Genomic DNA, 19,383 nt, shown 5'->3' on the forward strand with positions numbered 1-19,383 from the left:
TGGAAGAAAAGTTGAATACATAAATCATATGTTTTATATCTATGATACTGCATATTCACATTTCTTCACAGCACTGTTTTCCTTGAATTGGTTAAAAATTATGTGGTCTGATATTCTAAATATTTCTTTGCTATTATAACAAAGCACATTCCATTTCCATTTTGAACACTTAATTTTGTGAGCAGTATTTCTTAGGACGTATCTCTATTATTGATATAGTTGGTAATGAACCATGTTTTCTTGTAGCAATTAGTAATTTTAATCCATTTCCATTTGTAGTTGAAAAAAATTGAAAAAATACCCAACACCATTCCATTAAAATGCATTTTCAATAGAATTTTACGTTTGTTTCACAAGTATAAAACTAAACATAGGCCGGGCGCGGTGGCTCATGCCTGTAATCCCAGCACTTTGGGAGGCTGAGGCGGGCGGATCACGAGGTCAGGAGATGGAGACCATCCTGGCTAACACGGTGAAGCCCCGTCTCTACTAAAAATGCAAAAAATTAGCCGGGCGAGGTGGTGGGCGCCTGTAGTCCCAGCTACTTGGGAGGCTGAGGCAGGAGAATGGCGTGAACCCGGGAGGCGGAGCTTGCAGTGAGCCGAGATCGCGCCACTGCACTCCAGCCTGGGCAACAGAGTGAGACTCCGTCTCAAAAAAAAAAAAAAAAAAAAACCTAAATATAATTTCATGTCATTTTGATCAACTGTGCACTACTAATAGCAATAATAATTCACATCAGAGGATTTTTTTAACAAAAAATTTTAGAACAGGAAACAAAGAAAAATTTATCCTAAATTGATATACATATTTTAGGGGCAGGTAAGCATTATAGTGTAAGAAAAATTTAAAACATAACAGTATCTTACATCAAGATAATATTCTATAGAGTAAGTTCAATAAGTGAATTCAAAGAGCCCATTGTTCAAAAAGAACAATGTATAATTTCAATTATTAAGAGGTAGGTATCCAGGTCTGTATTATTTGCTATGTAATACCTTTAATTCTTTTAGAAAAGGAATTTTTAAAATTGTAAATATTTAAAACTCATCAGACATTATATTCTTCACACAATTTAAATTGGTGATAAAAATTATAAAAGCCACCTTAAAAATGTGTGAAGGGCACATGGTTATTTTGAAAATTCTCTTTGCGTTTAACCACACAAAAAGTATGACGACCACTCTTTTGCCTACCATTTTCTTTAGTTTTACTGAGTCTGTGAGAATCAAATTATAATGCTGAGATAGGTGTGAAATATGTAGAAAAGCAGGCAGAAGTTCATACCGAAACAGAAACTCAGGAGGCTGTGGTACAGCATGCAGGTCACCCTTTCAGGATAGAGGCACTCATTCCACCATCTCTCATTCTAGGAAATTGCCTTTGACTGAAGGGAAACTGCATTGCCTAGGTCATACCCCCTTGTTCCCTGGGTAGGGAAGGATTGATTGATGAAATGATACAAAGGCATGACCCTTTCTGATATGGTTTGGCTGCGTCCCCACCCAAATCTCATCTTGATTCCCATGTGATGTGAGAGGGACCTGGTGGGAGATAATTGAATCATGGGGGCAAGTCTTTCCCCTGCTGTTCTTGTGACAGTAAGTCTCACGAGATTGGATCGTTTTATAAAGAGGAGTTTTCCTGCATGAGTTCTCTCTTCTCTTTGCCTTCTATCATCCATGTAAGATGTGGCTTGCTCCTCCTTGACTTCCACCATGATTGAGAGGCCTCCCCAGCCACATGGACCTGTAAGTCCATTAAACCCTTTTCCTGTATAAATTACCCAGTTTCAGGCATGTCTTTATCAGCAGCATGAAAACAGATTAATGGAAGCTCTTTCCTTCATTTGAGCCATGTCTGAAGGGTCAGAACCCCCACTGAGATCAGTTGAGGCCTTGGTTTCAACTTCATAACAGTCCAAATTTTGAATTTGTCCAATCCTGTTTCTTTTGATCCTTTCCAGATGTTTTAGACAACGGCCCTCCCTGATAAAATTTGTGCATGCAAATCTCCATTCTCTAGTGTTTCCTGGGAAACCCTACCTAAAACATGTTGGGAAAAAAAACTATTATTATCAGGGTGAGTCACTGCATCTAATTCTAATGAGACCAAATGAATCTTAAATAAGTAATCAAAAAATAGTTTTAATGAAATTTCTGCATTTAACATGACAATTGTCTATGATTTCATGGGTGACTGTTATTTTGAGAACCAATTGTCCAGTAATGTTATACTATAGTAAAACAAAAGAACTCCAGAAATAAAATCACTATAAGACTTAAAATGCTGATACGACATCAAATGGTTGTTTGAAATGTTCCTTTAAAGACATTTTTGTATCTTTAATAAAGAAATGTTCGTTGGAATAAAAAATTTAAAGGAAGCGTTTTCTGAACAACCCCGTCTTCCTTGATTTCCCTTAGATGATTCCAGTCTACATGAATTTGCTTAGTATTTTACTATAGACTAGAGACTTAGGAATTGACATCAAGTGCTTTAAAAATGCAATAGAAAAAAATAGAGTAAAATCAATAATAGTGTGAAGAATGACTTCAACAGCTTGTATTTTCACAGTGGTCATCAAAAAGTAATTTTATATCCAATAATCTGTATTGATTGTTTGTGAAACTGCAATGCATTGTACCATAGGACTGGTTGTGCAGTTATAAATATATGTACCATTTTGTTGATCTTTTTTTTTTCTTATTGAGTTTCATTTTCTCTAAAAGGGATCTTATTCTGTAGTGTTTATATGTGGAGGCAAGATTCAGAACTATGACTATTAATTCTAATACCTTCAGCCACGTAATTGGAACTCTCTTTTTGGGCTTTTGGAGAACAAGGAAAAAACGTGAAATATGATACAATTCAAGAGAAAATTTTTTGAAGTCACCTATATTGTACTTACCAACTACCATGACTTCTCCAGGGCCTTATACTGAAATATTTCGTGAAAAGTAATTAAAAGCCAAAAGATGCATACTTTAGGACGTAATCAGCATAAAACCTCTCAATATATCTAGAATTTGTATACTGGATAAATATTATCCCACCAAACTTCTATATTATGGGACTATTTTTATAGGTAGGGCTCCTTTATAATTTTCTCTTTTCTTCTTTTAGTGACACTTTCTGGAATGGAAATGGTAATCTGAAAAGGTTTAGTTGATTTACTTATTCAGGTGCCAAAGCAAGACAGACCTGATAATCCTCACATGGACTTGCATTGGTGGAATAAATACTGATTCCATGAGGAATCTTAGCTGATTGCCGCAGTGGGTATTTATATCAATTTGGAGGGAGAAGCTGGAAAGACTTGAATTAATGTGAATACCACTAATAATAATAAGGTGATAAAATTGCATCAAGTGCAGAAGATGAGGACAATAGCTTGTGAGGATTTTTCACCAGTTTGCTGCACGATGTGTAAGAGAAAGTCTCTTCTGTTTCCATTCCCATACATTTCTCAATACTGGTATGAAATGAGAATGGATCCAAGCTGGAGAATGAATGAGTAAAGGAGCTGAGTTCGGATTCAGAGTCTCAGAGTAAACAAGGAAGTAAAGCAACTGCATATGGGAAGCTGATATCTGATTTACAGAAGGAGGAAAGATTTTGAAAGCGTAGGGGTTTAACCATATATGGCCTTTAACTGTAGCTCTAGCGTTTACTGTTTGTGTGAACTTGAGCAGCTTACTCAACTTCTTTGAACCTCAATTTCCTCATGTAAAAATAAAGATTGCTGTTGTTAGGATTTAATGAAAATATGTATTTATTTATTCAACAACTACCTATCTAAAATTGTTGTATGTCCTAGTTGCATAGCAGTGTACAAAATAGAAGTTCCCTACCCTTAAGAAGAAGACAGATAATAAGTTAACAAACACATAACATAATTACAGATTGTATTGATAAAAATATGATGAGTGATAGATCCAAGGTGATATGATAAAGGCGCCCTGCTTTAGAGAAGGAATGTGTCTTAGGTGAATTCCAAATGAGCCTTTTCTCAGTTGACATTTTGGTTTAAACGTGGCTAGTGAGAAGCCAGCTATTGAAAAGCCTGGAGAAAAGTATTTTAGGCAAAATTAACAGCAAATGCAAAGGCACTAGAATGCAAGTAAGCTGAGTGTGGAGAATAAAAATGGTTAGAGCATTTTGTGAAAGGTAGAATGTGGTCTCAGATGAAGCTTTTGATCAGCATACAATAGCAGTACCTATTGAAATGTTATGCTATTCGTTGAAGCTCTAAAACTACTTCTATTACAATTGTATTGGAGAATTGATCTAATGTTGGCAGGATATTATTGAATTTAGTAGTAGTTTAATGAATAAATTGCTTGACTAGCTGCAGTATATTGAGTTTTAATTCACAAACTTACAGCTGACTTCCTATCTGAACTTGTGAAAATTATATAATCTCAGCCTCAATATCGGTGATTCCTTACATTTACACCTGACGATTTTCGTAAGGCTATTGTGATTATTTATGTTGGAGACTTTATAACTAATTAACCCTGTATAGATAGATGCAATGCATATCACATCAGATAATAAGGATATGTTGTGAGTTGCGAACCATCAATGTAAATATTTGCTAGTTTGTAGTTAATTTCATTTGTTCTGAAAGTTAAGAATACCGTAACAGTTTAATTATTTGTTTAATTTGTAATTTATATTTACCACTTTCCAAAGTGCTACAATTCCTAGTGTGGTAGAGTCAATATTAATGTGTAAAGTATCTATAATAACACAAAAAACTCCTAATGAAAACAGAGAGGTATCACACAATTATTAGAATGTTTTGAGATATTCACATTGTGTCAAGGACTATTGAAGGATCTGAGATTTAACCCTATGCTACAGACTGAATTGTGTTCTCCCAATTTGTATGTCAAATCCCTAACTCCCAATGTGCCTTTATATTGATATAAGGTCTTTAAGGCAGTAATTAAGGTTAAATGAGGTCATCAGGGTACAGCCCCAATCTGTTAGAAGTGTTGTTCTTATAAAAATAAGATGAGACCTCAGAATTGCCCACATGCAGATAAAAGGCCACATGAAGACACATGGAAAAGACAGCTATCTCTAAGCCAAGGAGAAAGGCCTCACCAGAAACCAACCCTGCCAACACCTTAATCTTGTACCTCTATCCTCCAGAACTGTAAGAAGACACATTTCCATTATTGAACATTCTGTTGTTGCTATTTTATTTTGGCAACCCTAGTGGAATAATACACCCTATTTTCAGGCTAACAAGTGAGGATTAAGCTCTGATTTTTGTATCTTGCCCAAATTCGTATCTAAGGGGTCTAGGGAATCATGCCCTACAAACTATAAATTTTCATCAGATGGGTTTTGTTTGACCCTATGTATCATGACTTACTTTTCAATCTGACTCTGGCATAACATTATGAGACAAGGAAAAAAATCAAAATATTTAATCCCAAAATATATTTCCTTGCCATACCTTGAAATTGTCCTGCTAAGTCTCTTGTGGGAAAAATCCACATTCCATAAAGAATCACTTTTTCCCTTTGTTTTTCTTCCTTCCTTTCCCATTGAAGGAGATAATCAACTAAGAGCCAGGCACCCTTTTAGGTCGGCTATCTGAGAGCTTCCTCTGCATGATAAAACCTGGTCTCCACAATCCTTTATCTTAACCTGAACATTTCCTTTCTGTTGATCCCAGGTCTTCAGATAAACTCAACCAATTGTCAACCAGAAAAATGTTTAAATTTACCCATAGGCTGGAAGCCCCTGCTTTGAGTTGTCCCGCGTTTCTGAACCAAACTAATGTATTTTTTAAATGTATTTGATTGATATCTCATGCCTCCCTAAAATATGTAAAACCAAGCTGTACCCCGACCACCTTGGGCACACGTTCTCAGGACCTCCTGAGGGCCGTGTCACGGGCCATGATCACTCATATTTGGCTCAGAATAAATCTCTAAAAATATTTGTACGGAGTTTGGCTCTTTTTGCCAACACAAGTTACTGAATACACACTGTTCTGTGGATAAGGGTAGAAGCCAAAAGATCTTTGGATCAGAGAAAGGCCTTTATCATTAACAAAAATAACAGTAGAAAGACTATTAGTATATATTTTTTTACCCTGGTTCTCTGAACCCATTTTCCAAAGAATGAGACAAAGAGGGCCAAGAAATATCTGTTACATACATGAGTTGCATTATAGCAGGGGAACCTTGAGCTAAGAGAAACAGAATTTTATAATGGAATAAGGATGCCTTACCTTTGCCCTGGATGCTGTAATTAAACCAGTTCTGTTTTTTTAGAGGGAAAGACTATATCTTCCAAGGCCATTTACCACTATACACACGTTCTTCAAAAGAGAGTCTGGAACAAGGGCAATCAAGGTCTCTACTTGCAAGTGTATAAAAATGTGAGAATCCATTGGAGAATTACTCTTAACACGTAGTTGCTCTTGTAAAAAACAAACAAAACTCAGTGTTTCAGGAAAGTTTTATTCAAAGCTATATTCAAAGAGAACCTTCATTGAAGAATCTAGTAATTATTTAATGAAAGATAATCAATAATTTTCATCTTGAATATCTGATGTTTATTATAATTTAAGTCAAATTATTTTTTATATTGACTAGTTCTCTAAATTAAAATGCTTCTTTCCAAGTACAGTAAGTTTGGATTTATTAGGTACATATTATTGATAAATTTTAAGGTCAGATAACTAAGTTGATGAGGATAGTCATCTGGAGTCCTGACATATTTTTTTCCTTACCTCCATTATACAGTTATTACTGGTTACTTTCAATGATTTCAAGGAGTCAGTTACAATTTGTAAGACTTCTTTCTTCCTCCCATACCTTCAAGGATAGTCTTCCCAGAAATTGATGAAATATATTGATTCATTCTGATGCAGGATTTTTCTCCACCCCTTCGTTGGACTTGTGATGGAGTTGTCCCGTTTACTTGGCCTGTTGTGATTTATCCCTTGTGGGAGGGAGCCAGTGAGTGAGAGAGGGCAGGAACTAGACAGCCGTTTTGGGCCCCAGCAGGAGCAAGCCTCCGGTGGGCCCCATGTCAGCACCCAGGTTGGGGTGCCTGTGACCCCTGAAGCCCCACTGGGTGTGTTACAATGCTCTCTTACCTCTGCCATCCATGGATAGCGGTGTGTTATCAGCTCAGTGGGCTCCTTGCCTCGTCACAAGAGGCGGCTGCCTTCCACCAGCGAGAGCAAAGGGCCAGTGTGACACCCTTTTTTGATTACTTGCACTCCGTGGGTCCTGAGCTCTTGTCAGGCATCCAAGAAAAATGAGGTCACGCAACACTTGAATGATGGTGAAGGCAGAGAATTTTATTAAGCGATGGAAATGGCTCTCAGTGGAGCAGGGGTGGCTGCTGAGGGGACTGGAGGGCAGGTAATCTTCGCCTGAAGTCTGGCCGCCTCTGGCCAGCTCTTCTCTGAAGTCAAGCCGTCTCTCCCAAGTTAAGCCGTCTCTTCTCCGAAGTCCTGCCGTCCATCTGAAGTCAAGTCACCTCTCAAATCAAGCCACTTCTCTCTCTATTAACTGAGTCTGTGGTCTTTTTAGGCACAGGATGGGGGGCAGGGCAGACCATGGGTAGTTTTGCAAAAGGCAACATTTGATTGGTAAAAATACATTATTCAGAAAGAACAAATCAGAAGGCAGCAGGGACACAGGGATAGAAGTTCTCACTTTGGGCCGGGCATGATGGCTCATGCCTTTAATCCCAGCACTTTGGGAAGCTGAAGCGGGTGGATCACGAGGTCAGGAGTTCAAGACCAGACTGGCCAAGATGGTGAGACCCCATCTCTACTAAAAATACAAAAAATTAGCCAGGCGTGGTGACAGGCACCTGTAATCCCAGCTATTTGGGAGGCTGAGGCAGAGAATTGCTTGAAACCGGGAGGCAGAGGTTGCAGTGAGCCGAGATGGTGCCTCTGTACTCCAGCCTGGGTCACAGAGCGAGACTCTGTCTGAAAGAAAAAAAAAAAAAAAAAAGTTCTCACTTTGGGCTGCAGATTGCCGGCTTTTTGCTGGAAGATGGGGTTTCACTGGGGACCCACCCCCATCTGCCTAGAATTTCTCTGCCTCCTGCCTCTATCAACTCCTTCTGAACATGTTCTGTACTTGTTCCACCTATAGAGACTATGTTAAAGCAAATTAGGTAACTTCCTTTTTAATAAATTCTGAAATGCTGCTGATTAAAAGCCAAATCTATTATGTAAAATTATTTTTTTAAATCCTAAATGAATGGCAACAGGCTTTAAGGCCAGACTTTCTAGAGTTCTAAGAGGCTTCATTCCTAAATGAATTTTTATTCTAAATCCCACAATAAGCTTTATCTTTGAGATATTACTGTGACTCTGCATAAAATACTGCTTTCAGGAAAGGACCCTGGCACAGTTTTAACTTTGGAAATAATATGTGTTCTCTTCTGAAGTCAGCCACAGTAGGATTTGTGGTGACTCACTGGAGGAGCATATTAAGGTAGATCCATTAGCATCACCATTAAACAGGAGATTAAGCTAGGCTGTATCATTCAATATCCTCACATCACTATTACGTTTGTTTAAGCAGCAAGTCTATTAGCTATAAAGCTTCATATTTAAGTGTAAAGCACAAAATACTCCAGCAAGAACAACAGAAAAGCCACTTGCAAGTACAAATTGACACAATGCTTTTAACTTTTATTTGTACTTAAAAAAACTTTCTTAAGCTCACCTTGCCTCACCCCCTTATTTCCACTGTCAGCTAACCACAAATCTTTTTCAAATCAACATCTCAGCTCTCACCAAATTAATTATTTAGGTTCAGATAAAAATTTTATTTACACCATTTTTGTTCATTCATTCTTCAGGTGTTTTTAATCTCTCAGTGTAAAACATTTCTAAACACAGTAAAGCCCAAAACTTCTCTGGCATTTCTATTACTTTCTCTGAGAACAGTCTTCAACTTGTTATTTATGAAGGTTTTTTTTTATATCACTAGTTTATATTTCAATCAACCAGTCTAGTGATTTTATCTTAAATTAGTATCATTCAAACAGTTTAAATGTCAAAGGCCAAGTTTAACCAAGGAAGAAAACATCCTTTAGAGTTATTACTGTACCACTTCAAAAAAAGTATTAAGAAAATCATCTATAGAAATTAAGATAAAATAATGGAAATCAGGGCCAGTTACATGAGTATGGGACCTGTTCAGTCACACGACCCAAGCTTAAATAAGCCCCACACATGATTTAATATTTGGCTTTTCCCATATTGAAATTCTTAATTTTTGAAAAGGGGCCCTATGTTTTCATTTTGCACTGGACCTCATAGATTATTTAGTCAGTCCTGGTTATATTTTATGATGCATGTATGATTTTATTTCCACTCTAATTTATCTTCCAAGTAGCTATAATAGCATGCACTAGCTCATGCAGCTAACTTACCCCAGGTACAGGGGTGTGAAGATTTTTCTGTTTGTGTGGATGATAAGGTCATTCTTTCTTATTCCAGTGTTTATATTTAAATGGGTAGAGAGTGAACTGGATTGACCTTTGGACAAAGATTCAGTCACAAAAGACATTTTTTAAAAAGAAAACTATTTCTTTAAATAATTTATATATATATGAAAAAACATATATATAACATATGTATATAATACTGAACTGTAATTAAGAGCACTTTAACCGAGATAGAATTTGTATACTTATAAATAAGAATTGTAATATATTTAAAAGCTAAGCAAAGTGAAGATACAATCTAAAATGCATTGTCATAGTTTGACACAAAATCATATAAATTAGAAAAATCAATGCAGAAGTTAGTCAGGAAATGCAGATAAAGACCAGACAGAGGAAAATGATCTTAAAGTGCAATATAAGATTCTTCATTAGGCATGCGGCTTATGTCTGTGCATCATTGGTATTTTGGAAAGGATGTCATATTTCCTCCCTTTTTATTTGTTTTAAGTTTGGAACCTAGAACACTCTAGGTGGCAATGGCTCCTGTAGGCCTGCAAACTTTCTGCTCTTCCCAAGGCAAAGGGAGGTTGCTGAACTGCCAAGCTCCTATCACAACTTTTCCTGTTTCTTTATATTCTCTAGTGTCTCCAAAGATTGCTTTAGCATTCTGCCACACTCAGCATCCACAGAAAACTTAGGTGGGAAAAAACCAAAGTAAAGAGTTAGAGATGATTAAACTTTAACGTCTTAGTGCTTAATTCTGATCATCCTGTCCTGAATTCATTAAGGTATCAGCATGTGGGCCAATACTTGTTTACGTAATGGTTAAAATATTCCAACTGTTTGAAGGTTCAAGAATAGATCAAGAAAAGCCCAAGAGGCCACTTCTAGGCCTACTGTAGTATTTGCTATTGAATTCATAAAATAATGCCCTTCAGAGTAAAATCACCTCCTAGCACAGAGAGCAGATGAAACATTTATTTAAAATGTATTATATGGCACAGCGTCAGGTAGCAGCACATATTTAACTACATGGAATTGTAGACCTGTTCAGGCTAGTACTCTGCTCTTCTGAAGTGTCACAGCAGCATAAAGGAAAGAAGGTTGTAAAGATAATACAACTTTCAAACATTTAGGGCGTTGATGAATACACATTCTCATTTGCATTTTATACAAATTAGCATCAATAGGTAGGGCAGTATTAAAAGTATCTTTACCACTACTTTGTCTGCACACTTTATGGCAGAATGTGCTTACATGCGCTGTCATCAACATTAAATAAACTTTTGGGAGATAGGTTCATTGGAGTACTTCTGAACGCATGAAGTCTTTTTGAATAATTGAGGGCATACATTTATATAGTGTTTGTTACTGGAATTAATAAATCCTTGTATGATATCTCAAATCTTTGAAGAAAAAAGTGGAATCAGTGCATAAGTCAGTGTGCAAAAATCTTTGGCACTAGCCATTTTGTTAAACTTTCTAGGTTTCAATTTCCCTATCAGTAATATCAAAGGTTGGCCAAGAGGTACCGCTTTCATCTTACCTGTTATGTTAATCTACTTTTATAAAGCCCGTAGAAAGACTTAATTTTTCATTATCTGTCTTTGAGACTCCTAATTTCATTGCTTTGTGTATTCATTTGTTCATTTATCCCGTAAAGTTTGCTTGATTGATGTCAAGCACTGTTCCTTAGCTCTGAAGATTCAATGTCAAGGGAGATAGGGCAGGAAAAGATGGAGGAGATATTTTCAGGCTCTCATTTAGCTTAGAGTCTTGTTTGCATTTGGCAGGCAATTATAAAAGAATGACAATTTAATATGGTCTTGCAACTGTGAGAAATATAAAAATGAAGGATTAGATGAGTGCATCTGATCTGGTTAAGAACAAGGAAAGCTCCCCTGAAGGTTCTCATGACAGAACTGAGATTTAAGACCTGAGTACAGAGGCAGAGTTAATAACTTGAGAAGGCCAGAGTCAGGACTGGAATAGGGAAAAGCAAAATCTGGGTTAACAATGATACAATGTTTAGAAAGACTAAATTAACAAATGTATAATCTCAACTATAGACTCCTTGTGATATTACTTGTCCCAAATAAGGTTTATGAAAATATTTCCATGGTCCTATAAGTCAAAAAATTGCCCTTCTCCTTTGTGTTTTATCTATTTATTATAGATAATTTTTTTTAGCATGTTGAAGGGTTGATGCTCATTGAAACACCACTTTTCTCAGTACTAGTCCAGGACAAAGTAGTGGTACTATTTTTAATTGATTATTGTGCAATATGTCAGCCTTATAGTGATACTTTCTGTGTTGCTTGTGTTTCAGTCAAAGGAAAAAATTGAACCATTGACCGTTCTTGTAGGCATACTTTCTGGTCAAGCAGGCTTACACCTGATATGGTCATCAACACTACAAATAGTTGGGAGATACATTAATTGGAACCCTTCCTAAAGAATGAAGTTGCTGAGTAACTGAAGGTATATGTGTTTGTAATGTTTATTTTATGGATAAAACCATTCTTAGTATATCATCATTTTCTGATAACACCATAGAGAAAGAGAGCTTGTTATGAATTTGCTAATCTCTTTTTCATTTGGAGGCTAACCTAATGATTTAGTGTCACTGTTCTGTCCTTATAAAAGTTAACACATATTACATTGTACTTTTAAGGAAGTTTTGGCAACAGCAGATTTCCAATTTTAATATTCTAATTTAGAATTGAATAGTCATCATAACACTTAACCCAGTGAAAAATAAATACACAAAGAACTTTTCTTTATGAAATTAGAACCACATTTCAAACTTTAGGTATTAAAAATAGCTTATAAAACAAACTCTGGAAGATTCTGATTATGTGGGGTGATAATGATAGTGCAATAATGCATTTCCCAGAATGACAGCTAGTGATATCTCTAAATGGCCTTCAGTAGAAGAAAGAAAACACACTGCTCCAATCAATACACAGATAGTCCATAATGTAAAGATTAGAATCAGAATATTTAAAAATTTAATACTTTGCCACTCCATATAGCACTTTGGAAGTCAATATCTTTGGAAACCTGGTCCATTTCCCTTCTTTGAAAGCATTATATATTTAAACTTTTTAAATTATTTATCTAGTCCATGTGATTAAAAATGAACAAAGTTAGCCCATCCATTATCTTCTGCAGCTGCTGTCTGGATATTAGTATTTGTTTTTTTCTCCCTCTTAAATACTTGATTTTTTTTTTCTTCTTATCCTGTAAAGAGCTCAATAGATACATTAAGAGAGCAAAAGGAAACCTCATCTACTAACATCACAGGGTGCTGCTGCATAAATAATGGGTAAAAGTGGCTGTGCATGAACAATATACTTAAATATTTTTACTCAACTGTGTTACTGCTGATAGTTTCACCAGATAGTTTAAAATGTGCCGAAACTATCAGCAGATAGTTTAAAATGACCTGATAGTTTAAAATGTAGTAAAATGGCAAGAAAGCCTATCATGTGTTTCTTTTCCTGGCCTATTGTAAATAGTGTGTTTTTCTATTTGTCTTTTTAAAAATTTACTCTCAAAGCTACTCCAAAGTCAACTCTTGCAGAATAAAAACATTATTAATTGAGTTGTTTTAGTCCTTCTTCTACAAGAATTGTCATGATGAAAGGGAAAGCTCATATTTCAATAAAGTGAAGAAATATTTTTAAAATAGCAAATTTAATGTAATGTATCATACCAGTGTAATTTTATGGTTATTAATTTGCTTCCCTTTAAATGTCTTTATTTTTACATATTTTCTTTCAATTTTGCTGAGATCAGAATTGCTGATTTTGTAAATGTGCTACCTAGCTTGGATTATATAATATGACTTTTATTATTTCTTATGAGGGTTTCTGATATTAAGAAAGAAATGTCTGTTTTACTATCCTACCATAGCTTTTCATTAACTCTACTTTAGAGACCTTTTTTAATTCCTATTTTATCATTAAAATATTTAAAATATCAGAAGAATAGAACACTGTAAAACTATATATAAAAGAAAATATAAAAATGTCAAAGAAACACCCAAATATTTAAAGATAATAAATAAAAAATTAGACAGGGACACTATTTTCTTTCTGTTTTATGCTGAAAGACTTTAGAAAGAAATCTCTTAAAATGTTTCCTAGGAATCTCCTCATATTCCATGGCAATACAATTATGCCACTTAGCTTTCAGGAAAATAGATTATTATAGCTTCAGCCCATTCTCCACAATGTGTAACACATCTTTTTGTTTTTTAATGTACTAAGTATCTCCAGTATTAACAAGTGTTCTTCTTTATCTGAAGCAAGATAAGAGATTGGGGGGAGAATCTGATCTAATATTTTTGGTGCTTCCACTGGTTATCAACAGAATACTTAAGAATGACAGGAAGTTATATGTTTTACCTCTTCGGAGCATAGTGCTCAAATATGCGTATTGTGTGGATATTTTTGGCACAATAGAGGCTGTGAAAATCCTGGTTATGCCAGGCCAACAGGGAGAATCTTCATAGGATTTTACTATTTCCTTCATCCTAACTCTCATTCAAGTGAAATAAACAGCTGATCTTCATCTGTTTTTCTTGAGATCAGATTTCAACTGAAAATACAGAATCAATTGGGGTGCTTCCAAAATTCTTATTTGGTGATTTATAAAAAGATGGAATGCATGGTGAAAATAGGAATTTATATTCTGTAATCTTGCTAGTTCCCAAGTTCCATAATGCCCAAATATTCTATTGCTTTTCTGTAATGAGTTTGTTCTACTGATCTGACTACTGAGATAGCAGATAATGTTCAGAATCGGTGTTTTTGAACACAATCACAAGTATTAGAAATAAGTGACTGAATTTATAGCGACTTGATATTGATACAGGAGTGCTGGGAAGGGAAGAGTGTGGTCCCTTTAAATTATATGGAAAGGGAGAGGAGGGCGTGGTCCCCTGGCTAGGGCTCCACCCCCACAGACCTTGGCAAGGAAAGGCTTTTCCTGCCCAAATGTTGCATTACCCAACACCACCCTGGCCTGCCACACCCTCATCCTGTGCCTGTAAAAACCCGAGACCCCAGCAGGCAGACACACAGGTGGCTGGACATTGAGCATATCAGTGGAGGAACACATAGGCGGCTGGATGTGGAGAGGAACGCACAAACAGGTACCCGCATGTCAGCAGGCCAACGACCAACAGAATGACATGGAGTCTGGCTGGTGCAGTTGGAGGAGAGCCCAGGCCACTGAAAGGCCTGTCTCCAGGGGAAAACCATTTCCTTCTGGCTCTCCCATCTGCTGAGAGTGCTAAATCACTCAATAAAACCTTGCACTAATTTTCCAAGCCCATATGTGATCCCATTCTTCCAGTACACTAAGGCAAGATCCTCAGGATACAGAAAATCCTCTGTCCTTGTGAGAGGTGACAATGTGTTAGCAGCCCTCGCTCACTCTCAGTGCCTCCTCGACCTCAGCATCCACTCTGGCCACGCTTGAGGAGCCCTTCAGCCCGCCACTGCACTGTGGGAGCCCATCTCTGGGCTGGTCAAGGCCAGAGTCAGCTCCCTCTGCTTGCAGGGAGGTGTGGAGGGAGAGACGCGGGCGGGAACCAGGGCTGCACGTGGTGCTCGCAGGCCAGCGCAAGTTCCGGGTGGCCGCAGGCTCCGTGGGTCCCACAGTTGGAGCTGCTGGCCGGTGCCTCCAGCCGTGCCGGCTCCAGGTAGTGAGGGGCTTAGCACCCGGGCCAGCAGCTGCGGAGGGTGCTCCAGGTTCCCCATTGCTGCCGGCCTGCCTGCACCAGGCTTGAATTCTCACCAGGCCTCAGCCCCCTCCCCGCAAGGCAGGACTCCGGACCAGCAGCCCACCATGCCCCAGCTCCCCCTACCCCCCATGGGCTCCCACATGGCCCGAGCCTCCCCGACGGGTGCTGCCCCTGCTCCACGGTGCCCAGTACCATCGACCGCCCAAGGGCTGAGGAATGCAGGCACGTGGCGTGGGACCGGTGGGCAGCTCCAGCCGTGGTCCTGGCACGGGATCCACTCGGTGAAGCCACCTGGGCTCCTGAGTCAGGTGGGGACTTGGAGAACTTTTATGTCTAGCTGGAGGATTGTATATGCACCAATCAGCACTCTGTGTCTAGCTCAGGGTTCGTGGATGCACCATTCAGCACTCTGTATCTAGCTAATCTGGTGGGGACTTGGAGAACTTTTATGTCTAGCTAAAGGATTGTAAATGCACCAATCAGCACTCTGTGTCTAGCTCAAGGTTTGTAAATGCACCAATCAGTGCTCTGTGTCTAGCTAATCTAGTGGGGACTTGGAGAACTTTTACATCTATCTAGAGGATTGTAAATACACCAATCAGCACTCTGTGTCTAGCTCAGGGATTCTAAACGCACCAATCAGCACCCTGTCAAAATGGACCAATCAGCTCTCTGTAAAGTGGACCAATCAGCTCTCTGTAAAATGGGTCAATCAGCAGTATGTGGGTGGGGTGAGATAAGGGAATAAAAGCGGGCTGCCCGAGCCAGCGGAGGCAACCTGCTAGGGTCCCCTTCCACAGTGTGGAAGTTTTGTTTTTTCGCTCTTTGCAATAAGTCTTGTTGTTGCTCACTGTTTGGGTCCACACCACATTTAAGAGCTGTAACACTCACCGTTAAGGTCTGCAGCTTCACTCCTGAAGCCAGCGAGATCACGAACCCACTGGGAGGTACGAATAACTGTGGATGGAAGGAACGAACAACTCCAGACGTGCCACCTTTGTGAGGTGTAACACTCACTGCGAAGGTCTGCAGCTTCACTCCTGAAGCCAGCGAGACCACAAACCCACCAGAAGGAAGAAACTCCAGACACATCCAAACATCGGAAGGAACAAATTCCGGACACATCATCTTTAAGAACTGTAACACTCAGGGTGAGGGTCCGCAGCTTCATTCCTGAAGTCAGTGAGACCAAGAACCCACCAATTCCGGACACACTTGTGACGAGTCAAAGGGTCTAATTGAGCTGGTTAACATAGGCCGTCTACATACAGATAAACTAAAAGAGCAACCTGTCATACACGCTTACTGGGGCTTCTGGAGCTATAAACATTCACCACTAGACACTGCCATGGGGTCTGAGCCCCATAACCTGTCCATCTGTATGCTCCCCTAGAGATTTGAGCAGTGGGCACTGAAGAAGCAAGCCACTTCCCCACTGAAGTGGGACAAGGGAAGTTTTCCCACTTCATTATGACATGTTCTTTCTATGCAGAAAACATAAGCACAATTATAGTAAAAATGTTAAATAACATTTAGAAAAAAATAGATATAAACTTCCATGAGGGGTAGAAGTAATATCCTTAGTCAACTTGAATGTCTCACTCTCGTCTTGCTCAATTTTACTTCTTAGATTTTTTTTCTGGATCTGTTCCAATATGTCTCACACTATTTTTATCCAATCTGGAGTACATTGGAGTGCTGCGTCTTTATATTTGGACCATAATTACTCTTTGTTAAATGCCCTTATTCAGGGAAGACTTGGCATCCAGTGTCCATATCCATTTTAGCATCAGTACAACTCAGAAATCCCAGGATCTAACAGCCTTTACCTGCAAATAATATCAGAATATTAACATTCATACTTTGATAGTTTCTTGCCTTCACAATTCACTGTAGATTCTCTGTCATTTTTCAAAATCTTGAGAGAATTTTTTTCGTGTCATTAAGAATAATGACTAGCATTTATTAACTTATATGCCAGTCATGTTATGTACATTTTCAAATTTAATGTTTTTCACAAGTTTAAAAAGTAGGCAGTGTAATTATCCTCTGTTTAGAAATAAGAAAGCAAGAGCAAAGAAAATTTAAGCATTAGTTTAAATTTATAAAAATTCTATTAAATGAGACGTTAGATTTTGAATCTAGTTCTTTATAAACTAAAGCTTATGCTCTTAAATTCTTAATATACTATTTTCTGGAAATGTTTCATATTTACTTACAAATAGCCCTTTCTTGTTTCTCTTGGGTGCTCTGCTTTTTTATGTCTGTTTTTGAAGAATCACTTGAGGTTAGATGGTAAGCCACCTTGCTACATTGTATCGGGGCCCTTACTGAGAAGCCTGCCTTGCTCACCATTTTGTTGCCATAGAGCTCCAAGACTCTTGTGTTGCCCTAAGATGCTAGGTCCCCTTTGTTCTTCTGTTAAGAAAAGAAATTAAAACAGCATGTATCTTCAGACATTCACTCAGTTTGTTTGACATTTTTTTCTCTTTTCTTGAGGACGTATGTATCGGTTTCTACCATCATCTCTCAACTAGCTTTCTCATCTGTTTTTCTCCTCAGTAACAAGTTAAATAAAATTTTGGCATGTATTTAACGATTAGCGTTTAAAAAAACTAATCATTGTATTTTGGAAACCTCACTTTTAAAAAATAATGCCTTGATTCTCACAGAAATAGTTTTACTACACTTATGGGTGCAATTTGTGCAAAAGATACCGCAGACTACTCACCATTATTTCTATTTCTGGCTTCAGGTGTTAGTGAATTAGAATTCCCTCTTATAAACTTTGTTGCCTTATAGCTTTGTAAATAAATGCTTATTTTTGTCAAACTCACATGTTCAGATAACTCTAAAATTCAGTTTAGATTCAGCGGGAACTCTTGCTACATTAATTGTATTGAAATTACACTTCTACCGATTTAGTCCATTTTAATCTCTTGAAATTAGAGATCTTACATTATAGAATTCCCTGGACAGAGTACCATACTTGAAATATATTGAGTATTCAGCTGATGTTTATTTAAGTGAACCGAACAGAAGAAAGTTCTTCCTTTCTGCTTATTTACTTGCTCAAACTCAACTTTGACTTTAGGTACTTATCAACAATTATCTCCCAGAGGTGTTACTGTCTCTTTTAAAGCTGCAAAGTTCTTACCATTTATAACTTACAACTAAACTCTCCCGTCTTTGTTTAATTCTGTAACTTTCTTCTTGCTTTCTGTGATAATTTGAGTATCGCCTGCCAACATATACTGTGTTTCTGTGATCTGCTTTTTGTTTCTGCTCTCATCACTGGAGGACTGTTTTACTAATTGAAGGCTTTTGTTAGAAGGAGTACTAAAATAAAATATAATTTTCAAAAAGTTAAAAACATGACACTCATAACTATAAAATTAACAGGCCAATGTTTTAACTTAACTGTAATGTAGGAATAAGATGTTAAACCTGGTTCAAAAAAGAATTTGAGGAATTTGGATTTTTATTGTTTCCCTGCCATAAAAGTGCAAAAATAAATTTGCTAACAGATGTGTAACTGATTAGTGATTAATCTAGATAGGAAATGGTAATCTTTGGTTTACTTTTCCTCCTGACCAGAAATCATTTGCATTACTATAAAGAATCATTTGCAATGTTCATTGACAGATTATTTGTAATGTGCTTAGGATTGTATGTATTTCTATCAGTTTTCTATATATTAATTTCTAATATTAATTATAAAATATCCTAATAAATAGTAAATTTGAAGTCAAAAGAACATACCCTAGAAAATCAGATAATCCCTTCAAAGAATGGGCCATTCCCAATACTATCTTAAAAATACTCCCAATTATCTCTTTGCATATTTCCAAGTTTTAGATAAATTTTCCTAACAAATTTAATTGCTCGAGTGGAATTTGGCTGAAAATGGATCCACTATTGTGTAAACCAAGAATTAACTTAGATAATATTTTCCCACTATTCAGGGTAGCAGGGTACCTTTCTCTCTCTGATCAAGCTTTGTAAGCAGATGACTAAGATGGGAAATATCAAGATTAAATTTTGAGTCCTTTGCTGTTGTACTTTTTATTTTTATTTTTTAAACAGTCTCTCAAGAGCTAAAAGAAGCCAATTTTGGGGAAAGTGAAACTTTTAATGACCCTCCACATCACAACAAGTGAAGAAAAACATTCAGA

Source organism: Homo sapiens, chromosome 9, assembly GCF_000001405.40.
Source record: "Homo sapiens chromosome 9, GRCh38.p14 Primary Assembly".
Taxonomy (NCBI): domain Eukaryota; kingdom Metazoa; phylum Chordata; class Mammalia; order Primates; family Hominidae; genus Homo; species Homo sapiens.